We start from the raw sequence: 27,954 nt of genomic DNA on the forward strand, positions 1-27,954 counted from the left end.
ATGTACATGAATGTGTCACATAGACCTGTCATTAGAGATGGTTTAGAAAATAAGCTTACACTATACGTGCCTCAATCCACTTCAAAACTACATATTGGGCCCAAAGAGGAAAAGGGACTTCTCAGAAGAAAAGCAGTTTCTGAAAAGCTGGAGAACCTGACTCAATTAATACAGCTGCTGGTTGCCCACCACTTTAACCTCTGACACCTGATAGAGAAGCTTCATGAAAGCAGCAATGATTATTAAGAGAGCAAAGCAACCACAGGGAAAAGGGAAAATCTTCAAGCAAAGACTTGAAGATAGAGACATGGTAGGGGGAGATATAAGGATGCTATATTCATAGCAAAGTACCACAGACTGGGTGCCTTGAAGAACAGAAATGTATTGTCTCACAGTTCTGGAGACTAGAAATCCAAGATGTCAGCAGGGTTGTTTCCTTCTGAGGGCGTTTAGGGAAAGATCTATCCCAGGGCTCTTTCCTTGGCTTTGTAGATGGCCGTCTTCTCTCTGTGTCTCTTCACATTGTCTTTCCCATGAACATATCTGTGTCCATATTTCCCCTTCTTATAAGGACACCAGTGATATTAGATTGGGGCCCACCTGAATGACCCCATTTTAACTTGATTATCTTTTAAAGAATCTATCTCCAAATAAGGTCATTATTTAAGGTACTGAGGGTTAGGACTTCAACATATATATTCTGGGGGACAAAATTCAACACACAGCAGATGGGAACATATTTAATAACCAAGGTTCTAAGCAAAGTTCTGAAAAGAAAACTTTTTGTAGTAAATATGCTAGCATAGACAAGTTCCTTGTGTTTTCCAACAGGTTTGCTTCAAAATCAATCCTTACAGCTTCAAGAACAGGAGAAACTCTTAACAAAGAAAGGTCAGCAAATTTATTACCACAAATTCTAAGATATTGCTCTTCTCTTACCTGCCTAGAGGCAGCGGGATGGACTACATGACCTCCTGGAGTCCCAGCCAGTTCTGGGAGTCTGTTAAGTCCGGGATGTGTGGGAGCTTTTTAAGGACTGATCATTGGCTCTGAGGACACTTCAACTAGTTAGCCTTCTATCTTGAGGTATATAAACTGTGAAAAAGGGTTTCTATTCTCTCTGAAAGCACATGTCTGTGTTGAACATTTCAATAAATTTATTTTGAACTCAGGATTTCATGTCAATTTTTACACACTTGATTTTCCAAATCACATCCAACTCCCCAGCCCCAAACCACATAGCAGTCCAGAGTCAACTCACTGTTAGCCCTAGAGAGTCTACTGTCCATGTTTCCTGAGAATTCACTGTGTATACAGAGGGGCAATAGCTCCTCACCTGTCCACTACACACGACCTTTTGTTTTCTCTTCACAATCATTGGGCATAATATAATAGATAAGGCAGAAATTTTTATGCTCACAGAGTATGGATAAGAACATGAAAGTCTATGGTGACACAAACTAACAACACAGCTATAACAACAATCCAAAACTTCTGACTCCTAGTCCATGCTCTTTTCACCAAGACTAAGACTGCAGGGTGGCTAAAAAACCATCTTTAACCATATGAAGATAAATTTTAGGATATGACTGCCATCTTCACAACTTTCAAATGAGGACATCAGGGAAAAGGGATTGTATTAAAGCATTTACCAAACTTATTTGACAAACTAGGAAGAATGTGACATACAACCAATGAAATTCAATTAAGAAGTATTCACTAAAACTATCTAGCACTAGATAAGACTGGGGATACAAAGAAAAGATCCCAATCTTGCCCTCAAGGAGCTCAGATTCCAGCTGTCTGTCCAAGCTTAGCAGGGGCCTACTGGAAGTTAACCTTTATGTCAGAGAATGCCATCAGTCTAGCCAAGAGCACGCCCTCCCAAGTTCCCTCCCCTCTCCCCACTCCTAGTGGTTTCACCCTCAGGGCCCTTCCTCAGAGGTGTGGGCCTCACTGTCACCAAGAATCTGGCTGCTTTTTTAGATCAGGCTTTGCCCGTGTGGAGTCCAAAGTCCTTCCCTAACGAAGTGGAGCCTGAGGGTACAGGGAAGGAGAAAGACTGGGATCTCAGAGACCAGCTGCAAAAGAAGACTTTGCAGCTCCAGGCCAAGGAAAAGGAGGTGAGAGGGTGACCTGAGATAGTGAGGGCTCATTTGCGAAATAGCAGAGAAACCTGGGAGGCAGTCAAAAAGCAGGGATTTCAAAGTTTAAGTTGTGAGTGGATAACCACAGACATTCATTTGCCTACATAAAGTGTCTGTGCTTTTGGGCTGACTTGTCAATCTTTTCCCTTCCTTATTTATACCAACTCCTATTCAAGGTTTTATTAAATGATTACCTTTTAGAAAGTCGACCAAAACTCAAACACATTTAATAAAAATATTAACTTCTCAATATGTCGTCCCACATTGAGTATCTTAAGTCTTTATATGTCTCTTAAAGAGTAAAACTCTTCCTTTGTACATACTCACAAACATACACATCCCCAGAAGTATTGATATGCAACTAGCTCCTGGGAAAGAAACTTGTACTAAGGTCACTTCTAGGTCGTTTGTTCTATAAGAACTTCATTTTTCGGTGTCTCTCATTTGCAAAGCACTTGCACGTAAAGTCATATAAAAGAACTTAAATGTATAAAATGTAATACTATAATATGCATTACTGTCAATCATTTAAATGAACACATTCCAGACAATGTAAGACAGTCAAAAGACAAACTCAAATCCCTGAGAATGGCTGGGAAGGGAAGATGGTGGTAAAAATTCCAAATGAGTGAAACTTACAAAGGGCAGTCTCCCCTGCCTGGGCTCTGTCCTAGACAGAAGTGACAGTGATGACTTTGGTGATGTTCTCCCCAGTGCAGAGAACTGCATTCAGAATTAGACAACCTCAGTGACGAGTATCTCTCCTGCCTGCGTAAGCTGCAGCACTGTCGAGAAGAGCTGAACCAGAGCCAGCAGCTGCCTCCCAGAGTAAGAGGGTCTCTCCTTCCCATAAAGCCCTGGATGATGGGACGATTCCTTCTTTAACCAAGTTTTGCACATAAAATATATCAGCCCACGCCAACAACTGGCCATCCTGTCCCACTGTGCTTGGTTTATACTATACTGACATTATGGCAACCATTGAAAAAAACACTGGCTCGTCCATCAAAGCCCAACTTTCACAGAACTCTCAATGCCAGAAGGAAAGACTTACTCTTAGCTAAAGTATGAAAGGGTGTTCTTTTAGCCGATGATAAGCATGGTGGCAAGAACAGAAGGACACAAAAGTACTGGGGAATACAAAGAAAGAATATAATTTTGCTGGGTTATTTTCCACCCTTCATTATTCATATCAGTATTTATATATCTGGTCCCTGATGGATACGGCTCCCTGGGCCAGAGAACATTGGTTAAGTGGTTTTATCCCAAGACAGGTGACAAAATGGGAGACAGAGTAAAAAGCTTTTTCTCCACCACCAACCCAGCGTTTTCCACTGGGCTAGAGTAGGAAGAAGAAAGATTTTTGCCTATATCTTTTCCAATCCACTCATGGCCACTTTCTTCTGTCTCCCTGTCCCCCTACAGAGGCAATGTGGGCGATGGCTCCCAGTGCTGATGGTGGTGATTGCTGCAGCACTGGCAGTGTTCCTGGCCAATAAAGACAACCTGATGATCTGAATAATTTGTGACAACTGCCTTGGGTGAAAATCAGAAGCAAGCAACTCAGCGAAAAACTCAGAAGGTTTGGGTACATTACAGCTTGGGTTTTCCAACTGACTTAGGATTTCTGACTTTTTATTAATTTCTTAACCTACTGTAAATAAACTTCACCTGACCAGATTGTTCCTCAGAACTCTCAGTTTATTCCTGAATGGTGTATTACATTAACAAGTATCACATATTTAAGCATACTGGTGGTCTACTCTCCTCAAATTCAGTTGGAGGCATATAAACATGCAGAAAAGCCCCCAGCCCTACTTTCCTAGCATGCAGCACCCACATAGAGCAGGTATATTTACAAGGTTACCATGCAAGAGTGTTTGGCTTGTCTTCCATCACCCTGCTTTTCCTCTATCATCTCCTTCCTTCTATCTTTTATCCAGTGAAAATGAAAACATCTCCACTAAGAGGACTTCCTAGTATAGAAATGGCAAGTATGTACTATCTACCAATTTGCTACTAGCACCACCATTACCTATTTACATGCCCTTTGCATTTGTGGCCAACTGATCTACAGCATTGTGCCTTAGTGTATTCAAGACACTTGGAATTGGCAGTTGAGATGATTATTTGCCATCCCCAACCTAGAGATGATCATTTACTGAGTACCTTCTATATGGGAGGAGAGTTAAAGTCAGAGGGCCACAGCCGGCAGTGTGACTATCTCAGAGGAGATGCTGAGATCAGCAAAGTCATTCTGAGTCCTAAATCGGGTTCTGAGGTCCTTCTCCCAGGTGTTTAGAATGTCCCTCAGGCCTGGGAACAAACTCTCTGGGACACTAAAAGAATAGAGCAGGATTGGGGGTTGACCTAGCAACCATGAGATCCGGGCAGTGAATACTCGTAGTGGAGTCAGAGCTAAGCAGTTGTCATCTCCCTGGTTCAGGTGAAAGGTATAGGGAACAGGATAGCCCAGGAGGATCCCAAATACAGTACACAGATTCCAGTCTGAGGAATGGAGCCTGCTGTAGGAGACTGCTAGAGATAAGTCCCTCTGCAGCCCCTGCAAATGTGTGATGATCTCAGCCACGAGGGCCTTCAAGTCCTGAAGCTGGTCCAGGGAGCAGACAGAAGGGTGACGCTGGCAGCTGGAAACATCCACAAAGGCTATGGTACCAAGCAGCACCTGCTCCAAGTGCTGACATACATGCTCAGGACTGACAATCAGGCTGTTTTCTCCAATCTCAAGGATGTGAAGTCCAAAAGTCAGGAAGCCAAGCCCCTTCAGCTCCTCCAGATAGCTCTGGAGCTCTGATGCCCCTGCACAGTTGCAATCATAGAGCACAGCTGGCTTCAGTCCCCGGGCCACAGCCAGCACCTCTCCAGCTAAGTGAAGGCAGATGGCTTGGGGTGGACTCCGTCTCTTTCCCATGCCAAGGGTCTGCTGAGCAGCTGCCACCAGCAGCTGAGGGCTCGGTGATGACATGAGATCTAGAAGCAACATCAAGAATGGCCTCCTTAGCTAGCCCGAGTTCCCTTCCCTGGGTGGCATCTTTCAGCCAGACACTTGAGGAGGGGCCTAGAAACAAAGCAGGAGCAGGGAATTATTAACAGCCTTCCTGTTAAATCGCGGTATCTTCCAAAGGTTATTCTGTCCCTCCCTGCTTTGAAATGGCGACCCAGCCCAGACAAGATAGTTTCACCGATGCTGCTTGATTTTTCTGGTTGACTTGGTCTCCCTCAATCATAAATTCGTGTGTTTTTCTAGCCTTATAGCTAGATTTATATTCCCTCTGGCTTTTATTCTAAATTTCACCTGTTGCAAATTACGTTCTCTGGTTCAAACCGTAGGGAATTTGGGGCAGAGGCGGAGGCGGGGCAGTGTTTGGCAAAATTCACAGCATTTCGCCCAAAAGCCCTTCTGGGACAGAGCTCCAAGTTCCAAATGTATCCTTTCCACTGACAACTCCCCTACTCTTCCCGCCAGAGAATAGTTATAAGAATAGTAATTTGATTAATATACACCAGAATGTGGACTAACAACCATCTCACCCTGACACATAAAAATGAATGAATGAAATCCACTAGAACTGCAGAAGGGTAGTATTTTAACTTCTGCTGGCCCCGCCTTCCCTTTCTGTCCGACATCAAGGACCCTCGGAAGATGAGATTTCTCCGATCCACACACCCCACACCAGAGCATGTTATAGTGATTTGCTAAATGAGGCATAAGTCTGTCTCACATACGTTCTTTTTCCACGTCCGCTACAGGTTCGGGGGCTCAGAAACTTTTTGCGGCTTCCTGCCTGCTGCCAGAAAGGCAGCTAGTCCCCCACGCCCAGCCGCAAGTAACACTGGAAAACCCGCCTGCGCTGGGAAGACCCTCGCAGCCCGCTCTGCTCCAGTCCCGCAGGCACCTTCTTGCGCATGCGCACCCACTCGAGTGCCGCCCTCTTTCCCCCCATTCCGTGACGTCATCCAGCCGCTCGCGCGCCTCGCGTTAGAATCACTAGCTAGGCAGCCTTACTGCGCGCCGGAAGTTTGGGCCACCGTGCGGCCCGCCCTTTCCGGCCAGACTGAACGCGGCCCCATCTGTCGGCTTAGGAACTGGGAAGGGCGGAAGTAAACGAGAAAAGGCGGAACCTGGTGAAACTGGTTTCCCGCTGCTGCCCTCATTTTGCTTCGCCGAACGTCCTCCCTGTGTTATGACGTCTGGTGTCCCACTTGACTGGGAATCCAGAAACAGGGCACACAGCAGTTAATAAACACCTTTGATTTGTGTCTGTGGAAATACGTTTTGTCCAGACGAAACATACCTCAAGACAACATATTTTGCAGAATAGCCTCACCTGTGGGTGGTGCTGAAACGTTTTAATTTTTTTTAACTTGACTTCCCTAAATCCTACATTTGAGAGGCCTACAACAGCTCTCTAGGGAGGGTGTGAAGGTGTGAGTATTCACTTTGAACAAATATGTGCCAGTCATGCTGCTAGGCCCTGGAGGTACTGCAGTGAGCAAAACAGACAAAACCCCCACTTTCATGGGGCTTAAGTTCATGTCTACTGAATCCAGTTTGCTGATTTCAAATAAGAAATGAGAAGTGATGACACAGAGGCTTTCCAGTCAGGTCATTACAAAGAAAAAGTGTTATTTCACGTAAGAGTTAACACCTTTTTAACTACCAGCGATTTGACCCATGCCACGAAGGGAAAGGATTTCTTGAGAAAACCCCAATATCTAAGGAAATGGCCCCAATTTATTTATACTTGGAGCAGGACAGAGATTAAGGGAACAGTGGACACCTACACTGGAGTTGTCACTCCTGGATCTATCTTGGTGGTGCCTTCAGTCCATGAAAAGTGAATTGTACAGTAAAGATGGGGTCAGCATGGGAGGAGGACCAGCTTATAGGAGTTACCAGCCTAAGGCTGTCTGGTTCTTAGCTCAGAGGGAATCAGAAGCTGAGAGTAGAAAGTAGTCTTCTAATTTTAGAACGTTTTCCTTCCCCGCATTTATTTAATTTTCCCATGGTGGTTAACAGTAAATCCCTAAAAGACTGATTTAGTTCATTCATTTATTCCAGCAACAAATATTTGAGAACACACTGTGTCCCAGACACTGTTCTAAGGACTGGCAGCGAAGTCCAAGACAAACAGTCCCTACCTTCAGCAAGTTTGCAGTCAAGCAGGATGCGGATGCTGAGCATTACAAGGGAAATGATTATTCTGAGAGAGGAAGTATGGGGTGCTATGGGAACATACAACCAGGGACCTAATTTTATGGGAAAGGGACCAGCCCAGATCCAACACTTGCTCTCCCAGTTTACCTCCAGTAGGTTCTTTTTAACTTGAACTAATCTTGTTTGGTGGGGTACACAGTGAGGAAAAAGAAGAGCTAGTGACAAAATCTAACTCCCTTCTCAGTCTTAAGCAAGGTGAAGGCAAGGGAGTAGAAGATATCAAGGGAGTGAGTGGTGGTAGCCACCAAAGGAGATAGCAGACTGAGGCCCTAAAAAAAGAAAGGAAATCTAAATCTATCCAGCAGGACCAGAGAAAGAGTGCTGAGGGTGATTAGATGGAATCCCTGCATGTACTCTCCCGGCATTCTGAAAAGAAGCCAAAACAAGGAAGAAACCGGGGTATCTAGTTAAGACCTCACAAATCACTCATCCATTCCTCTGACATGTTCATAAACTTTTTATAGTGGTTACGAACCAAAAGCTTGGCATTTCTTGGCACTTTTCCAATACCCTTTACCAGCTCACATTATCTGGGCTCCCACCCAGGCTACAGATAGCCTGGCTGTTAGCACTTCACAGAAGGGATATAGACTGGCCCAGATTCAAGAGCTGCCCTTCTAATTTACCTACAGTGGGTTTTTAACTTTGAGTTCCCACGTAGAGATGGGGCAGCCAAATATCAAGCCCAAATCCCTCACTTCACCTACTCAACAAAATGACCCCCAAAATGTAAAGTTTCTGTGCCTTTAATGCTTCCCGGTCCCTAAAAGCCCAACTTTTCCTCGAAGCTGGGCACCTGACCTTTAGCCAGGTTTCTTAATCTTTTCATGCTTTTCATAATAGCAAATTCCACTAGGTCTCTTAGAAACTCTAAAACCAAGGCTTAAGCACTTTAAATAAATAAGTCCTCATGTCACCACTGATTTTGAACTTTTAGTTTTTAAAATAAGGCTAGCTCAACTTTTGAGTCATTTTGAAAAGTTGGAGATGGCCTGGTTTAAAGGTACCAGACTAGACATGGGCTTCCTTACTATGTCCCGACACAGACAGATAGGCATCACTATTCAAGAGGACTGGGGCTTGCAACCACAGATTAGCATCTTATTTGCCATTTAGGTCCCAGATTGCTTGAGCCCAGGAGTTCAAGACCAGCCTGGGCAACATAGCAAGACCTCATCTCTACAAAAATAAAAAAAAAATTAGCCAAGCATCATAGTGCACGACTGTTGTCCCAACTACTCAGGAGGCTGGGGCAGGACGATTGCTTGAGCCCAGGAGCTTAAAGCTGCAGTAAGTGGTGACTTGCCACTGCACTCCAGCCTGGGCAACAAAGCAAGACTCTGTCTCAAAAAAGAAGAGAAAGCTGAAAGGGTTAGAGACTCAGCAGATGTTTCTAGATAAGACCAGTTTGTGACAGATACAGCTGCATTGTTCTATACCACTCTTTACCTTCACTGTTCACACTCAGATACCTCCACTAGTAAGGGAGACAAGCAGGTTCGTGCTAGGTGAGCCTTTCCAGAAGAGTACTGCCCAGCCCTTCTTCATCCCAGCCTTAACACACTCAACAACCCATTTCTTCCAACTGCAAAAAATCTAAATGATACTGTCCCTTTTGTAGTCAGAGAAGTACATCTTAGATCCCCAGCTCAGTCTAGCTCAGAGAAGAAAACAAGAAAAATAGAGCTCTTTCCTCTTAAAGCTAACACCTGAGTCACATACTGTCACCTACCCCCTCTCCCTGCCGCCCCCCCAACACACACACACTGGTATTTGAGTGGTAATAAGGTAAATGCCTGACAACCTATTCTTCCACAGAATCCCTAGGCTTTCTGTGTCAACAGCTTCCCTTTAGAAGCCAAATTTGTGAGCTTTCACTCCACAGGCTGGGTGACTTTCAGACTTTGGCACCCATTTCTATTTAGATATCAAGCATAGTTTCTAAGCAACCAGCCAGCCAGCTCCTCTCCCTCTCACTTCCCCCATCAGGGAGCCAGCTTACTATACTAGCAGAACAGGTCAAACAGAGCTCGATCCTGGACAAATCAGTGCTTGAGGAAACTTTAACAAAACCAAGGAAAAATGTGGTACAAGAACAATGCAGAAGGATTCTGTTCCAGGCAGTTTAGCCTTGTACAAGTAGAAGAAGGTCATTGAGTCCGTTCTAAAGCTGGATGCAATTTCAGGCACTACTCCAATCTCTTCACTTTATAAGCAATAAATCTGAAGCCCAGAGGTTAAAGGACTTGTTCAAGGTCACATTGGAAGCAAAGCTGCAGCTAGAACTTTGGTGTCCAAACTCCCAGGCCAAATCTCCTTCTACTATGCTATATCATACTACCATTAGGAGATTTGAAAAAGAAAAGCAAAGTCTGAAGGGTGATTTTTCCATAAATTAAATCAGCTTTAAATCTAGGCATATTTGGAGAATCACAAACTTCTAACACTGTTAGAGAAAAGAGAGATTTAAAAGCTGGTTAAATCTAAACAATAAAAAAATCCATATGTACAATATTATAAAAAAGAGAAGGAAGAAGATGGCATTCACAATTACTGGGGAGGCAGGGCAGGGGGCAGTTGCATGCTGGGGGTGGGCTGCATGGGCTGCCAGCTCTCCTGGGTTTGAAGGATGCGGTACAGCTGCTTCAGCTGAGCAACGATGTTATCCTTGATGTCTGGGGTTGAGATCTGCAGGCGGACACTGCCACTATCAAAGGATCGTGTGAAATCACCAGAAAACATCTCGTAGATCATCCGAGCCACTACTGGAATGACCTGTTCAGGACACAGAACACAGGTGTATCCTCTGAGGAAAAGGTATTTTTAAATAGCACAATGGACCCAAGATTGAAGGACAGACCAAAGAGGCCCTGAGGAAGACCCCATTCTGATGTCTAAATATAGGATATGCCTTCATCTCTCTGGACCATCCTTCTGCCAAGGCTCACTGTGGAAGTTGGTTCAAATGAAGGTAAAGAACCTAGATGTAACATTACATCACAGGCCTAAATAAATGACTGCTTACTTTGCAAGACTTTTTACAAAATATCATCTATTGCTTGCCTTGCTACACAACTCCAGGGGCAAAGCCCAAGTGGCCTTGCTGCCACTTCCTAGAATAAATTTATATTCCTAAAAGTAACTCAAAAGGTTTTTCTAAGAAAGGCTGGAAAGGGCCAGGTATCGTGGCTTACACCCATAATCCCAGCATTTTGGGAGGCTGAGACAGGAGGATCACTTAAGCCCACGAGTTCCAGACCAGCATGAGCAACATAGTGAGACCTCATCTCTGCTAAAAATAAAATTAGGCCAGGCATGGTAGCCTGTGCCTGTTGTCACAGCTACTTGGGAGGCTGAGGTGGGAGGATCACTTGAACCTGGGAGGTTGAGGCCACAGTGGGCTGAGATGGTGCCACTGCACTGCAGCCTGGGCGACACAGCAAGACCATGTCTCCAAAAAAAAAAAAAAGTGCAATTTACATTGTGTGTGTGTGTGTGTGTGTGTGTATTTGTGTGTGAAGAAAACCTGGAAAGGGTCATATCCTGTGAGGTTTCAGCAAGACTCTAAGGTTAGTAAGAGAATGAAAGATAAGATCTCCACTAAATCAATCACCCATTTTAAGGACCCTGCCTTTTCCAGCATGAGTCCTACTGCACAAACCTGAGTCTGTTACCCCATCTGATGAGACTGAAACCTACATGGGCTGATGGATGCTTGATGAGGGCTCAACCCAGACCTGGGGGCTTAAGCATTGGCAAAAAGATGAAGAGTTGTTGACACAGCCTTATCTTCTCACCTGAACCAAGATGAGTTTCCTTTCCAATGGTTTCCCATCTGGCCATTCTTCCCCAAAGCATAAGTAGATCTCAAACGGTGGCTGCTTCTCTATCTGTCCTTTCTGGTGGGCAATGAGATCTGCAGAAAGTGGAAGAGCAAGTTTGGTATACTGGGTCATTCCACATCCACTCAACAAATACCATCTTTTATGCTGTCCATTACAATAGCCACTAGCCACATGTGCTCACTAGTTTTAAATTAATTAAACAGTTCCTGGGTCACATTAGTCATATTTACATGCTCAATAGCCACATATGGCTTGTGACAACCATACTGAATAGCACAAATATATTGAACAGTACAAATTACAGAGGGTTCTCTTGGACATCATTGATCATGACTTGCAGTTCAAACCACATTGTAAAAAATTGACATCACGGTGCTTTCCCTAAAACTGCCTGCTTGAATTCACCACTCAGATAATTCCCAAAAGAATATGTGCTATTCTGAACATAACAAACAGGATTACCTTCCAAAGTTAAAGACACGCTGGTAACATTTGAGGTGTAATGACAGGGCTGTCTCCCTCTTCTGCCATTGAAGGAGCCACAACCAACTTAAAAATAGCTTCCAAGTACATAGCTTTGGAGTGAAACTCCCTTCTTTGTTGCCTAGGTCACCTCCAATTTTTAGAACCAAAGTTCTGTTCTCCCTTGACCTCCTCCAGACTAAATTTTTTAAGATCTTTGCCATGCCAGGAAAGCAGGAAGGTGAAAGACAGGGATAGTGGAAGGAATGTACTTCCAGAGAGTGATTCCCACGATCAACTTTCTGAGAAATGACTTACCGCTAAGGAATGTTTCCAGACAAAATAGCTTGACCTTCTTTTGTCTCTCAATCAGGTTGGGAGCAACAAGTGATGGGGCACATGGCCCAGACCAGTACACCTTGCACTGGCACAGCCTGATGGCATAAATGGCATGACCGCTGACCTCCAGGATCAGTCCTCTGTCCATGACGTCCAGCAGCTTGCTAGTGAACAGCTTCTGCTTCTCATTGGTAATATGCTCAGGACCTGGGAATTTGACCTGCTCCAGGCTGACGGGACCAAAGAGCTCCTCCTGGTCAGGCATGGGACCCAGGTCCCCATAGAAGAGTCGGCAGCCCTGAGGGTTGCTCACGGTCATGGTCTGCCCGTACTCCTTCCCACGGTACTGAAACTTGATGTCCAGGTCAGTCACTGCAAGGTTAGAGATGACAGTGAGAGTCCTGCTTCACTGCTCTGCCTGTTCATCCCTGTGACTCATGCAAGTCCATTAAGATCAAGCCACCTTTCAACCAGCATTCAGGAAGGCCACTGCCATAGTTATCCTTCCTGCAATAAAGGGAGACATCAACATATCCCTGGAATATTCACTCAAAAGGCTGCCTGAAAGCAAACAGTTCAAAGTCCATCTCAACTATTTCTGTTCAATCACCACACCCCAAAGGCTACAATTGCATCAAGTAAAGTGGTCCTGGTGTCCCCACGCTATACTGACTGAGTCTTCACACCAATGGTCATTGGAAGGAGCTAAAAACTAAGGTATCTTGTTTGTGTATCATTTTTAGCTTATTGTTTAAAGAAACTTGAGGAAGAAGAAGCAATACCAAACAATTTTTCTGAAAATGACATGTGAACACACACACTGGGGATCTGCTCTAATAATATACCATAAAAGGACACAGTTCACATCAAAGTTAATTTTTACTCAGCAAATCTCCATTGAACCCAATAGCCCCTATCAAAGCTACTTAGCCTCTTGGACAAAATTTTATTAATAGCACTCACATGCCTACCATATGTAGTGTGAAAGGGAGACCCAAGCAATGACATTGATTCGTCATTGAGATAAATTCGTACCAAATTCAGAAAGAGGTTTTTTTCTGTAGGTCCTAAAGCCTCTCAAAATCCAAGAGCCTCCTCTACCAAATCCATGGCCATTAACCTCCCTGTTCCACAACTGGCCTTGTCACTAAATCCCCCTGCGTGACTGATAAATCTGGGACTCCTACCCACCTAAGACCTGAATAACCTGGAGCTGGAGCTGTAACCAATCAGAGCATCCCTATGGGCAAGTAAGTGTCAGCCAATGTTTTTGTTGTTGTTGTTGTTTTAGATCATGTCTCATTCTGTCACCCAGACTGGAGTGCAATGGCATGATCAGGGCTCACTGCAGCCTCAACCTTCTGCATTCAAGTGATCCTCCCACCTCAGCCTCCCAAGTAACAGGGACCATGGGCATGCACTGCCATGCCCAGCTAATTCTTTAAAAATTTTTTTGTAGAGAGTCTCACTATGTTGCCAAGGCTATTCTCAAACTCCTGGCCTCAAGCACTCCTCCCACCTCAGCCTTCCAAAGGGCTGGGATTACAGGTGTAAGCCACCACACCCAGCTGGGCCAGTGTTTCTTTACTTCTTCCCTGGTGACTCATGGGCTAGCCAGGAAACAGAAACAGAGGATGCCTCTGAGACAGGTAGTTTTTCAATACATGGCAAAGAAATGAAGTTAGAAAGCAGGACAGGAAAGAGTCTATAATAGAAGCAGAAGACCGAGCAAGAAAGATAAAGTCTCACTTACTTGGGAGAGAGCTGATCCACAGTTCTGGAGAGCTATAGAAGGGCTGTATAGGTGCCTGGGGTACTTCCATCTCCAGGGGTTCAGTTTTGGGCCACACTGCCTCCGGGCTGCAGTTGCCCACACTGCAATTGCCCACACTGGCTGGCGCCATGGGAGAACCTAAAACAAAAGCATATGGTGAGCAGACAGGGGTACCACACGTGCACATCACTTGCTGATGCTCTGAGAACTCACAAGGTCAGTAGACAAGAACCAAACACTGAACCCTGACCCAGTGTGATCTTCCAGCCCATCAGTGATTCCCATAACTAACGCAATAAGAAATAAGGTTCCCCTGCTCCTGCTTCCTAGTCATATTATTTCTCCCACAAATTCATAGTTTTAAAAACCTTTGTTTGCTGAAGATTAACATAGACATGTGAGTTTTCTCTGGAGGTTAAATTACAAGGAGTAAGACATTCCATACTGTAAAATTTGGCCCCAGCAATTAAATAGAAGCTGGTTGTCTTCCATAAAACGAACTCAGCTAAATTAGCTGATTAGCTTCGAGTAAGTGTTAATGCATAGAAATACCTTTAACAACAAACAAATACTTTTACATGCATAAAATGTCTGGAAGGATACTCAAGAACCTAGAAGGATCTGACTCCTCCAGGGAAAGAAATGAAAGGTTCAGGGACAGGATAGAAGGAAAACCTTTCCACTGATTTACCTTTTTGTACCATTATGAATGTAAACCATGTGAAAGTATTATTTATTCAAAAGGATCCAATTAAAAGGTTTAAAAAAAGAAAAAAGAGTATTTCCCTGCTACTGTCAAAGTTGACTTGCTCCAAAGTCTACAGATTTCTCCTCCTAGCCTCACCTCTTAGGCATCTATTCTTCAACAATTCTTCATCCTCTGCCCCAACAGCTCTGAAATCACAAAGATTAATGTTTCTTTGACCCTTTTTTTTAGATCATGTCTCATTCTGTCACCCAGACTGGAGTGCAATGGCACTCTGGTTAAATTTATGGGAACTGGTTAAATTTATGTTCCCATTTTACTTTTTTGTTTTTAGTATCTATTCTACAACTTTCCAAAAAAGGATTAAAGGCAGCTCAAAACATAAGGACACACAAATATTAGCTTTAATAAAAGATCAACAGAAATAGGAAATCAGGATCCTGGAAATAAACTGCATCCTTTTAGGGGGTGAGAATAACAGAATGAGTCAGCCAGACATTTGAGAAAGGATCCCACATTTCTAGATGTTCAATTTCACTAAGCGGGAATGTAACGTGTGGCAATTTTTTGTTTGTGTTTACTTTTATTTTAGTTTCAGGGATACATGTGCAGGTTTGTTATATAGGTGAATTACATGTCCCGGGGTTTGGTATACAGATTATTTCGTCACCTAGTTAATAAGCGTAGTACCCAATAGGTAGTTTTTTTATCCTCATCCTCCTCCCACCCTCCGTCCTCAAGGAGGCCCCAGTGTCTATTGTTCCCTTCTTTGTGTCCATGTGTACTCAATGTTTAGCTCCCACTTATGAGTGGGAACACGTAGTATTTGGTTTTCTGTTCCTGTGTTTTAGTTCACTTAGGATAATGCCCTCCAGCTACATCCATGTTGCTGCAAAAGACATGATCTTACTCTTTTTTATGGCTGCATAGTATTCCATGGTATATATGTACCACGTTTTCTTTATCCAGTCCACCATTGATGGGCATTTAATTTGATTCCATGTCTTTGCTATTGTGAATAAGTACTGCAATGAACATATGGGTACATGTGTCCCTATGGTAGAACAGTTTATATTCTTTTGGGTATATACCCAATAATAGGATTGCTGGGCCAAAAGGTGATTCTGTTTCAAGTTCTTTGAGAAATCACCAAACTGCTTTCCACAGTGGCTGGACTAATTTACATTCCCACCAGCAGGATATAAGTGTTCCCTTTTTTCCATAACTTCATCAGCATCTGTTATTTTTTGACTTCAATAACAGCCATTCTGACTGGTGTGAGATGGTATTTCATTGTGGTTTCGATTTGTATTTCTCTAATGATTAGTGACATTGAACATGTGGCAATATTGACCTGCAAGATCTCTATGAAACTTCTCTTTACCCACACTTGGTTGCAAAGATATAAATGAAGGAGGGCCAGTGGACAGACAAGTGTCATTTCCTGATTCTCAAAGGTAGAGGCATCACCTACGGTAGAGTACCTGAAAATACTAAATAAATCATCTTGTTATCCTAAGTTTTATAGGTGGCACAAGTTATCTCATTTTGACCCATTGCAGCCAGGTGGTACTAAAAAGACAATGAAAAACTGCTTGGCTGGATGCAAGTCATTTGCGTAGGAGCATTTCAGTGGACAAATGAAGTAAAGATGCTGCAGAAAGAGCAATTCAACGTGTGTTCAAGTATCCTCAGAAAACGCAGTGGGAGATTCAGTACCTGCTCTGTCACACGGTGAATTCTCAAGCTCCCAACTCAATTTTCCTAGGAAGCTGGATTCAAAAGCCCATAAAAGAAAAGTCTCTTGCAGATAAATCCTATCAGAGCCAAGTACTATCAGCTACAGACATCACAAGTTTCCCGTGATACAGCCTAGGCAGAGTAGTCCTTGTGAAGGAAGTGACACAGAATTTATACCAAGGGAAATATTAGAAGAGTTTGCCCGTAACTCGAAAAAATGACACTGTACTTGGCCTGAAGGAAATTGGCAAAATGTGTAACTGATGATATATTTGTATGTTGGGTTAAGAATGAATTCAAATTTTTTATTTCTTTGAATTAGCACATAAGCTTCCAAAGATGTTCTATTGCCTGGAACCCACCCAACTCTACTGGGATAACTGAGCCAACAGGGAGTTCCTCACCTCTGACTCCCACTTGCTAACAGTCCAGCAGTCTGGCTGCAGGGACTGATCCTGCTTTCAGGGCAGTGGTGGCCAATGTATTGACAGTCCCAAGGTCAAAACTCCTTACATCCTCCATATGTCTCTGTACCACCCATCATCCCCACTCACCATTGATGTTCAGGAAGGGGAAGGTGTCCTGGATGGGAACATGGTGCTGCGACTGATCCAGCTCATCTTCCTCATCTTCTTCATCCACATCATTATCCTTCTCATCCCAGGGAGCAGACCCTGTGGATCCTACCCAAGATACACAAGCTCGCAGGTGAGCCATTCAGGTTGCACTGCCACCCCTGCAGCTGACCCACCATTCAAGCTAGGGACTGCTAGCCCAGAGGCTCCTCAGGTTCAGTACACACCCTCAATGTCCTAGCTAAAAAGAGTGAGAATCAAGGGAATGAACACTTCTCTCATGGAAGGACCTCCCTAGATTCACTGGAGCACATATCTAAATTATCTGGCTGTTAGTACTTGTTAAGTATGCAGTTAATTGGAGGGATCAGGAGATATTCTCTTAGTCAAAGTATCCTATGAATTAAACGATCAGTCACCCAATATGTATAAAGAACTTATTACCCTGATCTTGTCACTATTATATGTACCAAAACATCACTATATACCCAACGAATATGTACAATTATTATTTGTCAATTAAAAAATTTTTTTAACAGATCATGTTAATTTTTTTTTACAGATCATGTTAATTGATTCTCACACTAGCTTTTGAAGTAAATAGGAAAGCTGAGATCCCATATTTTAGAGTTGAAGAAACTGAGGCTTACAAGAGGTAAAATGACTTGATTCAAGTCCCACAAGTAGTAAAGTGATAAGGGCCAGGTTTAGAACGCAAACCTTTTAAGCTTTAATCCCTTCTCCTTCAAAACTACCTGGCCTCTTGAATCCCAAAAGAGGCTACTTTTACAGTAGAACTGTATACCCCTCCACTTTCTAATGCTTTAAGTAACCAGGTTAAAAAACATTCCCCTAAGTAAGCAAGATTTTGCTGAGTCTGCATCTTTTGTTTTCTGGGTCCTTCCCAGAGAAAGGCTTTCTTGCTTTATCCATCTTAAACTGTGTAAATCAGGCTGTTTTCAAGTTGACTATCTCTTAAGAGTGCAGCCCAGAATCTGGCATGCTGCCCACCTTCTCCCCAGCACCTGGGGCCTCACCTGGGTTAATGATCGAGCCCTGGGGCTGAGGGATGTCACACACTTGATATATCTTCACTGGGTTCATGGGCACCTCCTTGGTGCCATCATACATCAGGTTGAATTCTCTGCTCTTATTGAGAGCACAGCGCAGCTGGGCCTTCCATTTAGCTGGGTCAGGGTCATCCACCCCTTCCTGGTACTTCCCTGTCTCTACAGCCCAGGCCTGAGAACAAGAAACCACAGTGAGTCCTATCATTGCCCAGAGCCACTGCAAAGCATGTGCTTACCCTTTCTCATAGACACAAACACACACACACACACACACACACACACACACACACACACACAACTTTTGCATGACTGCCCCATCATCCCAACCCCGATTTACAGAGACTGCAGCAGGAAACACTGCCCTTAGGACCAGGCAAGACAGGTGCCTAAGGGAAATAAAGCCATGTGCAAACACAATATATTAAAAGGAGGAACCTTATCTCAAGCACTGGTACCGGCACTCATCAAGACGACAATGCTCTAATGAAGGGCTGAAGATAAAGCCTGCTGAAAATATGCACCAAAGTGCAGATGGTAACTCTGGATAGCAGAATTTCAAGTAACTTTTTTTCTTTGCTTATTCATTTTTGACATGAGTTGCTTATACGACAATAGGTAAGACAAAGAGGGATGGCAGAGGATATGAAGAGTTTGGCCTCCTGTGTTCCCTCCTGTCAGTCTTCAATCTAATACATAAATAAAGAATTGTAACCTGGGTGCAGGGGCTCATGCCTGTAATCCCAGCACTTTGGGAGGCCAAGCCGGGTGGATCACGAGGTCAGGAGTTTGAGACCAGCCTGACCAACGCGGAGAAACTCTGTCTCTACTAAAAATACAAAATTAGCCGGGCATGGTGGTGCATGCCTATTATCCCAGCTACTCGGGAGGCTGAGGCAGGAGAATCACTTGAACCCGGGAGGTGGAGATTGTAGTGAGCCAAGATCGTGCCATTGCACCCGAGCCTGGGCAACAAGAGTAAAACTTCATCTCAAAAAAAAAAAAAAAAAAAAAAAAAAGAATTGTAGAAACCAAGTGCCTTTAGGAGGGAAGGAAACACACTGGGGGTTCAGCTTGTCCCTCTGGCTGAGGGCCTCAAGTCCTAAAAAATCCACACCCCTTACCTTACCCTATCCCCTCAAACTTCTGCTTCATTAGAAACATCATGCTGTCAACCACACCAGTGGCTGGCAGCACGGACTAAAACCACTTCGACTCCTTCTCTCTGGTTTTCAAATATGGAAACTCACAGCACTTTCCCCAGACAAGAAGAAGTTAGCCTCCCTAATGAGGAAAGGAAAAATCTAAGCCGCTCAAGTCATAGACCAAGGTGCTCAGGAGCAAAGCAGGGAGTAGACACCTGGCCCTACTTTCAGCTCTAACAGGCATTCTTGTTTCTGCAATGGGATAGCCACTCTCCCCCATTGCTAACAAGTTCTCTGATCTCTTTGTGCAGGAGTACAACTTGTTCTGATGCCGAAAAAGTAGGTACCATTAGCAGACAGCTCAAGACAGGAAGCACACACCAACGTTTTCAAGCCAACAGTGTATATGATTTGTCCAAACCCAATCCCTTCCTCTGATTCTGATCATAGGCTTCTTCCTCAAGCTGAAATTGAATTTTTCTGCCCCATCCTTTGAGAGCTCTGATCTCCTTCAGTCGCCCCCTGAAGAACCTCACAGGCATGAGGAAGTTTCCTCAAAAGCTAATCTAAATCCTCCTCCTCCAATTCAGATCACTTCCTCTTACCATCTTTTCAGATTTGGGTCCCTCCATTTGATTGTGGTATGGAATGAAGAAGTTTGACAACATTCTGCTGCCCCAGGTGGCTGAGCAGACACTAGGGGGCCTAACTGCTGCTCCATTCTATCCAACCCCCTACGGGAGATTTCAACTTCACTGGTCGCTGGTATCTGGAAGGCCTATCTCCAATTACCTGGCAGTACCTGGCTGCTGCCTCCCCAAATTTTCCCTTCCATTTGTTTGATCCTCTGTGTGCCCACGCTAACTCTGGCCCCACCCAGCTGACTCGGGCTATGAAGACTTTGGCAGAGCTCTGCACATTTCTGTGGTTCCCTAAATCCCTGCTCCTCCATGGAGAGCAGCCAGACCAACCCAGAACCAGAGCCCCAGCCTTCCTGCTCACCACACAGCCATCCCCAGGACCCACCCAGATTGCACTGGGCACCCAAGGCTGATGCAGTGAAGAGCCGTATCGTTTAAGACTGGAACTTTAGAATCAAGAAAGGAGGCCAGGCGCGGTGGCTCATGCCTGTAATCCCAGCACTTTGGGAGGCTGAGGTGGGTGGATCATGAGGTCAAGAGATTGAGACCATCCTGGCCAACGTGGTGAAACCCCGTCTCTACTAAAAATACAAAAATTATCTGGGCATGGTGGTGCACACCTGTAATCCCAGCTACTTGGGAGGCTGAGGCAGGAGAATCGCTTGAACCCGGGAGGCGGAGTTTGCAGTGAGCCAAGATCGCGCCACTGCACTCCAGTCTGGGTGACAGAGCAAGACTCTGTCTCAAAAAAAAAAAAAAAAAAAAAAAGAATCAAGAAAGGAGAGCCTAGGAGGAACCATGTGGCAATCATTGTGATTTATAAACATCACTTGTTCAAACCCATTCTGAGTCTTGCTAGCAAGAGATTCTGATCACTGTGCAGGTCCTTATTTCTCTTTCTAAAGAGGAAATAATCTCTGCATTTTTATAGTGCTTTACAAATCCCTTTCCATACTTTATTTCACTTGATTCTCACAGGCAAGACTAATTTCATCCCCATTTTACCAAAGGGAGAGCTGAAGCCCAGAGAGGTTAACTTGCTCAGGGCTACACATGCAGTTGACGGTAGTAGAATTTGAGGCCAGGTCTTCCAGTTCTTGATCAGAAAGGGCAGTATAATGGGGGGTGGGATGCAGACAGAAAGTCATGGGTTCAAATCCTACCCCCACCACTTACTGGCTGTGTGACTTTGGCAAGTTATTCAGCCCCTCTAAGACTTGGCTTCTGTATCAACAACATGAAGGTAATACCTCCCTTACAGGGTTGTCACGAGAATTAAAAGAGATAATGGACACAGACACCCATTTAATGTTAGTGCCCCAGCTGCATATTCTGCTAAAGGCCATCAGAGCTTGGTATCTGTGAAAGCACCCTCCCCCTGCACTCTGCAAACAGATGCACAGATATAACTAAAACAAAGCCACCTCCCCACAGCCCAATTTTCCTCAAGCCCCAAGCATGCAAGCCCAAAGCATCACTCTCATGAGTAGGGCTTTCAGGAAATAGCCTCTTCCCCAGGGCCAGCCACTGTCAGACACTTGAACAGCAAATCCAGTTTCAGACCATGGCCACAAGAGGCCAAATGGGCCAAGATGGGCCCGTGCCCTTCTCAATGCCAACTCCAATAATTGGTGCTGGTTTATAGGTACTAACCTTATCAACTTTTATATTGTTATTTAAAATCTAAATTAAGATTTAGATTTTCTAAATACCTTCTAAGTACCTTCAGGTCAATATTCTCTCTGCCTGTCCTCTCTACACCTGACATAACTGAGTTGGGTGGGAAACATCCTAAGGATGGCTTTCTTTTGAACCCTGCGCTTACATTTTCTGCCCTTTCCCAACCCAATTTCAGCAAGGACCCAAAGCATGAATCTTGAGAGACCCACAGTAGAGACTGTATTTCACTTGTGACTTCTAGCTTATACTCAAAGAAGAAAAGGGCAAACAAAACTAACTTCTCAGTGTCTTGGGATGCAGGAACTAAAGCTACTCATGAGATGGAAGTGACCAAGAAAGAAGCTGGTGTGGAGCAGAGACGTAGCCTCCAGGGTTTCAAACCATGTGAAAACCTTTCCCACAACAAGCCTGTCCACCTACTTCTGTCTTAAGTCAAGCTTTGGTTTCACTTAAATTTTGTAAAATGCTATGTGATTAAATCTTGTTTTCAGTTAAATAAAATGACTGTCATATCAGTGCTATTTCTTATTTTTAAAACCATTTAAAAAATTAAAACTTGTAATTAAATCACCTTTGATTTTTAAGCCCCAGTTATAGATGGGGCGAAATATTTTAACTCAAAAGAAAAGCTTGCCAGGTGCAGTGGCTTATGCCTGTAATCTGAACACTCTGGGAGGCTAAGGAGGGAGGATCACTTGACCCCAGGAGTTCAAGACCAGCCTGGGCAACATGGTGAAACCCCGTCTCTACAGAAAAAATACAAAAATTAGCCAGGCGTGGTGGTGTGTGCTTATAGTTCCAGCTACGTGGGAGGTTGAGGCGGGAGGATCGCTTGAGCCTAGGAGGTCAGGGCTGCAGTGAGCTATGATCATGCCACTTGCACTCCAGCCTGGTTGACAGAGCAAGACCATATCCCACAAAAAAAGAAAAAGAAAGAAAAACTTGCTGAGAGCCCTCTATACCAATCACATAGGCTATACTGCGTGCCTGCTAACACCTGATAGTTCTGTCCTGGTCTGAGTATCCATTCCCAGGCCCAAGCAACTCTCTGCATAGCAAGAGCTCTGAGTTATTGAGGAGGAAGAGTCAACTGCTGACCCTCGCTAGCTTTTGAAACAAACACATCACTACAATCACTAATGAGAGTTTTAGCCAACCCCAGCTGGTATCCTTTGGGATGTGAGTGAGTACCTTCAATGAGTGGGAAAGAATAAACGGCTTCAACCATTGCAGACATGCCCCCAAAAGAGGAATTACTATGCCTGCTGAGTTTGGGCACCCCCATCATAAGCATTCTCTCTGTTTCACCAGAGTTTTAGATCTAGTGTATTCCCCATGCCAAAAAAAAAAAAAAAAAAAAATCCAGAAAGGTCTGATGGTAGAAGAAGTCCTTTACCTTAAAAATGGTATTTTCCTCTTCTTGTTGAGGGCTATGCCGGGTGGCATGTTTCCAGGGAATCTGGAAGCGTTTAGAGTCCCTGTGTAGCCAGATGAGCCCAGGGTAGAGGCCACTATCCACCTGGGCCACCAGCCAGGGCTTTAGCCGGACTCTGCGGGGGTGGAGGGCCATGATCTGGGGGGGTCAGAGGGAGAAATGGGAAGAGCAGAAGAATTAGGCCAGCCACTGGGAACCCTTCCCAGCCACCTTTCCCATCTACTAGAGCTACAGTTTCACTAGATTACAGCAAAGAAACTAAATATGGGAATAAGCTGTGCCAGGTGGGAAAGAAAAGAGGTTAAAAGGTCCTTTTTATTCTGATTCCAAAGCCATTTACACTTCATGCTCTAGCCAAATCAGACTTATCAGCTAAGTAGATCACATTTCTTCTATTTAAATCCTGAAGCAGAAAAATAAAAAGGTGATGTCATCCTGCTGGAACACAGTCCTTCCTGAAGCACCAAGGGCTTTGGAAGAGAAGGAAAATTGCTCTTTTCAATCTCATCTCAGGAGAGGGAAGAAAAAAGTTATGGAAACAGCAACAACTATATAAGTGAGAAGGTGACACATGTTCTCTTTTTAAACAAGACAACTAAAGGTGAATGGGAATATTTTAGAAATAAATGACACCACCATGATGAGGGAGAAGTAGATAAGGGGTAGATCCTGGACTCCAGAGTCCTCACTTACATGGAAGAGCAGGCAGTGTGTCCACAGGGATCTGAAGAGTCGGCTTGTCTTTCCCTTGACCGCTCAAAGATTCTGTATGGAGAAAAGGAGGGGTCTCAGCTGGCTATCCATACAACAATCCAGTGTCTGGGAGAAGGCTTGGGAACACTGGCGACAAAGGCTGAGAACACGTCTCCACTACTGAGTCTGGTAAAGCTCAGAAGCCCTAGAATAACCAAATACTAAAGTACTAAGAGTACTTAGAGTACTAAAAGCAGTCATGAGACAAGCTTTGCATGGCTAGGACAGCCTCCTCCCTTGGGTCTGTTTATCTCCCAGTGAAGGCTGGAGTGAACCAATTGGTTGCAGGAGCCAGCATGGGTAAAGTCTGCAATTGATTCTTGTAAAAATACATGGGCATAGCAGATAACATTCAAGAGCAGCTGGCACTCACAGCAGAAAACAAAAGCCTTCCCAGATTGGGTGACTGATAAAAAAACAGTCACTGGAGAATTGTTTGTCTGAGATGTTGTGTTTGGATTTTTTGGTGTTCTTATTTTGTTTTTACTTAAGATGAGAATGAGATGCCTGGAAAAAGAACACTCATTCAACAAATATTTGTTCATCAGCTACTGTGTGCCAAGCACGGTGTTAGTTACTAAACACTGACGCTCCATGTTCCTTCTTGAGAAACTCCACACTGGAACTTCTCAAGCCCCACAATGGCCTGAGAAGGAGGGGAAGATAAATAGGTCACCTTCATACCCAGAAAGATCCCTACCTGGACCACAGTTCTGAAACCAAACAACCTTACAGCAAAGCAGCTAAATATGGGAATAAACTGTGCCAGGTGGGAAAGAAAAGAGGTTAAAAGGGTCAGCTGAAGGCTCCTACTCAGAAGAGCTTAGCTGACGGGGTGGCCCATAACACCACTTCTCTCCCCAGCCAGACTCCCAACAAATGTGAAAAACCCAAACCCAACTCAGCGTCTGGCACTTTAAGAGCAAGGCAAGACCTGCTCTCACCTGAGCTTTCTGACCCAATTACCAAGTCCTGCAACTGAAACCTTCCCCCTGGGAGCATAGTGGGTAGGTCAGGTTGGCACGCAGTGTTCAAGTACCCCCATGTAGTTGGCCTTGAATTACGGTGTTTTGTAGGGCAGCATGTGAAACCATCAAACCATGGAGTGCATTATAAGCCTTATAAGGAGGAGGGGATGCATATTCTCTCAACGGCTAGTTCTACCTTCTGCTCCCCAGTCCTATCACTACTGAAAGGGGGATGGAGCAAGAGAAGGAAAAAGAGGATAGGGAAATAGGCACCAAACCAGTCAATCTAGTAAAGAGCTTTTGAGAATTTCCATTGCAATACTGGTAAGTGCTGTGTTTGGGCCTGTCAGACATTAAAATCCAACTCTTGACTGATAGTGGACTGGAAGAAAAGTCCAAAAGGACTTATTGTAGTTGATCCAAATCCCACCATGCAAAAATTAAGGCAATCAGGCCAAGACCAGGAGCTGCACCTGATGATGGGAAAGGAGAAGCAGCCACCCACAGAAATCAGTGATTAAGATCTAGAGCCCTGGGTTCTCAGTGTTCTCCTAAGATGGGACTACACAAGAGCAGCCTTGCCTCAGCCCCATGGAAGGAGCCCCAGCCTGCCCTCCTCCAAGCCCATGCCCTGCCTCTCTCACTGTAAACCCTCTCCACCTTCTGAAAGTCAGCCAAGATCTCCCCCACTCACCACCCAGTAACTACAAGTCTAAAAACAGGCAGAGATGGAACAATTGAAAACCCAAATGGCCAAGACAGAAACATTCATTACGTCACAACCACAGGCTGCAATATTAAGTAGCCATTAACAACAGGTGTCAGAATTTGTATTATACTCAAGGAAATGTTTACAATATGAAGTTGTGGGGGCAGGGGGAAACAGCATACAACTTGACTGTGTAGCACTATCTCCATCTTGTAACACAGCATATACTTGCATACATGTGCACATACACACAGAACTGAAAAAAGGAAATAAATACAACAATGCAACAAAATATTTGTAATGGTTATCTAGTGATGCAACTATGGGTGCTTTTTACATTCTCCCATATACATTATATATGATTCATATTTTCCTACAATGATATGTTTCAATTTATAATTTAAAAAACTACAAGTAATTTTTTCTTAACCTCAGGACAATAAGACATTTCTTATGAAGGATGGTAACAACAATCCTTTGTATCTGTGTAGGCTTTACAATTTTTACATGAACCTTTACCTAACATGTCTGATTTCATCCTCATAAACCTGAATGTGATATTACTATCCCCATTTTACATCTGGGCTGAGGTGCTTTATTTCCTAAGTCACAGTGTTCTGTACCAAACCCTGCCACTGCACCTTGTCTTCCATGTCCCTCTCATCTTCTGCGCACCAAGAAAGTAAACTAAAAACATCAACAAAGATCCCAGCAGCATAGAGGGCCAATAAAGTGATTGAGGTGGAGACTGCATAACATCCACTCTCAAACACACCTAAATCAGAGTTCTCTTTCTAAACACTCTTGCCACCCAAATCCCAACGCCTGAAGAACCACCTTAGCCTAGTTGAACTCATCTTGGTATCTCTAGCTGCCATCACAGCAAAATGTAAGGCCTGTGTCTCTAACAGGTACTTAAACAGCCAAAGGACAATGATGCTAACCTATCTATTCCCCTCACAGTGAGCATAGAGGAGGGACACTTTCAGCCTCCTCCGAGCATAACTGTCCTCTCCCATACCCCTATTCTAGGGAGCAGGTCCTCCATAAACACCCTCATTGCCACCTCCATAGCTCCTCCCCAGACTAGTTTCCAGGGGCACTGCCACACAAAAGCCGAGATTTGGCCGTCAGTGGTTTTGCTCAGGTTAAAACACACGCCATTTCTCGCAGACAATTCTTAGCAGTCCCAGCTCTTCCCTTTCTCCTGAAAGAAATGAAATGCCATCGTCTAAGTTCCGTTCCTCAGGCTTCCCTGTTTAGCCCTGCTTAGGGGTAAACTGCAGGCCTCTAGTCAAAATGCCCACACCCTTCCCTTCTGCTGGATGGAAGCTGGGGGATGGCGAATGGGAGTTACAAGGTATTGAGTGCCACTGTCATACATCATACACACGTCTCATCCTAAACCACACTCCTGGGTCAACACCAGCTTTCACCAATCCCACCCAAGCGCCTTCCTCTCTCTATCCATCTCTTTTCCCTGACTTCCACTCTTGACATCCACCAAGAGAACAGGTTGGAACAGGATGACCCCTTTACCACAAAGCAGGCTCCCTGTAAAGAGTGACACCTCAGGCCTCCTTTCCAAGTCAGGCCTGGGAGACTTTCCCCATTCTCCACACCACCCTCCAGCCCCTTCGGGCAAAGAGGGCCCACCCCCAGAGCAACCACACCCCAGCGCCACCCTCCCCAGCACCTAGCTCCGCTCCTTGGAAATCCAAGGTTGTCTCCCAGGCCCAGGGCGAAGGGCCTAACTGTGCCAAACAGACTCAGGGAGGGAAGACAAACCGCCAATGCTCCAAAGCTCCTGGCCACCCTCACTCCAGTTTCCCAAAACGCCCACTAGGATCAAGGACCTGCGGACCTGGGAAGTCCCCTCTCTGGGACACAGGGGCCAGCCGCAAGTTGGTAAGACTGAAGGGGGCGCGGTGCTTTAGCTCTACCGGATAGTGGGGTTGTTGACGGCCGAGAGCAGTGCCCTCCGCTTCGGCGGTGGGGGTAGGGAGAGTAGACACAAGTGTAGATTCGAGAGGGGCCTAGCGCTACAGAACTGAGGCCGCCCCAAAGCTATCTGGAAAAGGGCGACAGGCACCCAGCCCCAGTGGGTACCCACCCCAAACACACAGATGCCCCCAAGCAAGTTCTCTCACCCCCTACAAACTCCGGGGATGGGTCCTACCCCACCCACGGGGGAGCCTCTCCTCCCTCAAGCTGGTCCCCAGAAGTTGGCGTACCCACCTTTGCTCAATCTGTCCACCAGAAGCGGACGTCCCTCCGAACCAAGTCCGCAGCGAAGATCACCCGTCGCTACCACGCTCCTCGACGTCTTAGCCAAGGGGCGCCTGGCTCTACCCAAGTAGGGACTGCAGGTTCCTCTCCCCGTCCCGCACCAGCCCTTACCTGCCCAGCCCAGGTGCGCCGAGCTCACGTCAGCGCCTCGCCCCAGGACGCCGCAGCCTTCGCATCCGCCCGGCCACGCCTCCCAGGTGTGGCCACGCCCCCCGGCGTTCGGGATTGGCGAGTTGCAAGAAATATGACACTCCGCGTTTCTGGGCTGCCCGGCCCAGCGGCGTCCGTCCAGCGTCCCACCCTACTCCTCCGCTTCTAACTCCGGCTAAGAAAGTCCCAGATTCAGGCCTAGCCTTACGGCTCAGGGCTGGTGGTCCTGGGAACTGGAAGCGACTGGGAGTTCAGATCTAAGTCGAGAGGGTGCCTCCCTCCTTCACGGC

General features: G+C 45.1%; 3 protein-coding genes across 12 annotated transcripts in view, besides 4 other annotated features; 1 reads left to right on the forward strand and 2 right to left on the reverse strand.

The window, feature by feature from the left end:
- Nucleotides 1–3,827, forward strand: part of TRAF3IP3 (TRAF3 interacting protein 3) — a 26,258-nt gene extending 22,431 nt beyond the window's left edge. For 4 of the 9 annotated variants that reach the window (NM_025228.4, NM_001320144.2, NM_001320143.2 and 1 more), the window contains 4 exons: nucleotides 832–891; nucleotides 1,987–2,123; nucleotides 2,862–2,975; nucleotides 3,573–3,827. In NM_025228.4, the coding sequence (NP_079504.2) occupies nucleotides 832–891; nucleotides 1,987–2,123; nucleotides 2,862–2,975; nucleotides 3,573–3,665 (404 nt within the window). In that variant the 3' untranslated portion in view covers nucleotides 3,666–3,827. Of the gene's footprint in view, nucleotides 1–831 lie in introns of all 9 variants that reach the window. The other 5 variants (NR_109871.2, NM_001287754.2, XM_047430963.1 and 2 more) reach the window with 4 other exon arrangements.
- C1orf74 (chromosome 1 open reading frame 74) lies at nucleotides 725–6,076 on the reverse strand. Its single transcript, NM_152485.4, has 2 exons — nucleotides 5,895–6,076; nucleotides 725–5,226 (listed from the first exon to the last, which is right to left on the reverse strand). Exon 2 carries the CDS (start codon nucleotides 5,149–5,151, stop codon nucleotides 4,342–4,344), a length of 810 nt encoding a protein of 269 aa, NP_689698.1. The 5' UTR covers nucleotides 5,152–5,226; nucleotides 5,895–6,076; the 3' UTR covers nucleotides 725–4,341.
- Nucleotides 5,781–6,398: an enhancer, noted in NCBI's record as "H3K27ac hESC enhancer chr1:209957609-209958226 (GRCh37/hg19 assembly coordinates)". NCBI's record gives its function as "activates a minimal SCP1, AML or CMV promoter by ChIP-STARR-seq in naive H9 embryonic stem cells {active_cell/tissue: H9 hESC(naive)}" and the evidence as "EXISTENCE:reporter gene assay evidence [ECO:0000049][PMID:30033119]".
- Nucleotides 5,955–6,214: an enhancer, noted in NCBI's record as "active region_2476". NCBI's record gives its function as "activates an Ori minimal core promoter by ATAC-STARR-seq in GM12878 lymphoblastoid cells {active_cell/tissue: GM12878}" and the evidence as "EXISTENCE:reporter gene assay evidence [ECO:0000049][PMID:35858748]".
- Nucleotides 6,399–7,014: an enhancer, noted in NCBI's record as "H3K27ac hESC enhancer chr1:209958227-209958842 (GRCh37/hg19 assembly coordinates)". NCBI's record gives its function as "activates a minimal SCP1, AML or CMV promoter by ChIP-STARR-seq in naive H9 embryonic stem cells {active_cell/tissue: H9 hESC(naive)}" and the evidence as "EXISTENCE:reporter gene assay evidence [ECO:0000049][PMID:30033119]".
- Nucleotides 7,134–27,659, reverse strand: IRF6 (interferon regulatory factor 6). Of its 2 annotated transcripts, NM_006147.4 has the most exons (9): nucleotides 27,464–27,659; nucleotides 23,489–23,560; nucleotides 22,757–22,933; nucleotides 17,865–18,069; nucleotides 16,807–16,935; nucleotides 13,786–13,944; nucleotides 12,012–12,404; nucleotides 11,184–11,302; nucleotides 7,134–10,161 (listed from the first exon to the last, which is right to left on the reverse strand). In NM_006147.4, exons 3-9 carry the CDS (start codon nucleotides 22,928–22,930, stop codon nucleotides 9,937–9,939), a joined length of 1,404 nt encoding a protein of 467 aa, NP_006138.1. In that variant the 5' UTR covers nucleotides 22,931–22,933; nucleotides 23,489–23,560; nucleotides 27,464–27,659; the 3' UTR covers nucleotides 7,134–9,936. The 2 variants fall into 2 exon arrangements, with proteins under 2 accessions (NP_006138.1, NP_001193625.1); NM_001206696.2 differs by lacking the exons at nucleotides 22,757–22,933; nucleotides 23,489–23,560.
- Nucleotides 27,581–27,924: a silencer, noted in NCBI's record as "fragment chr1:209979409-209979752 (GRCh37/hg19 assembly coordinates)". NCBI's record gives its function as "represses an EF-1alpha promoter that drives an FKBP-Casp9 reporter gene in an ReSE screen in HepG2 liver carcinoma cells {active_cell/tissue: HepG2}" and the evidence as "EXISTENCE:reporter gene assay evidence [ECO:0000049][PMID:32094911]".

The sequence above is a fragment of the Homo sapiens genome, chromosome 1 (assembly GCF_000001405.40).
Source record: "Homo sapiens chromosome 1, GRCh38.p14 Primary Assembly".
In the NCBI taxonomy this organism is placed as follows: Eukaryota; Metazoa; Chordata; class Mammalia; order Primates; family Hominidae; genus Homo; species Homo sapiens.

What these genes read in the sequence shown, in the direction of transcription:
- C1orf74 (NM_152485.4), bottom strand. Translation starts at nt 5,151, where the DNA reads ATGTTGCTTCTAGATCTCATGTCATCACCGAGCCCTCAGCTGCTGGTG.
- IRF6 (NM_006147.4), bottom strand. Translation starts at nt 22,930, where the DNA reads ATGGCCCTCCACCCCCGCAGAGTCCGGCTAAAGCCCTGGCTGGTGGCC. An exon ending in GGGCTCGATCATTAACCCAG is followed by an intron (nt 16,936 to 17,864) that starts GTGAGGCCCCAG and finishes TATCTTGGGTAG; the next exon opens with GATCCACAGGGTCTGCTCCC. An exon ending in GGAAACTCATCTTGGTTCAG is followed by an intron (nt 10,162 to 11,183) that starts GTGAGAAGATAA and finishes TGTCCTGAACAG; the next exon opens with GTCATTCCAGTAGTGGCTCG.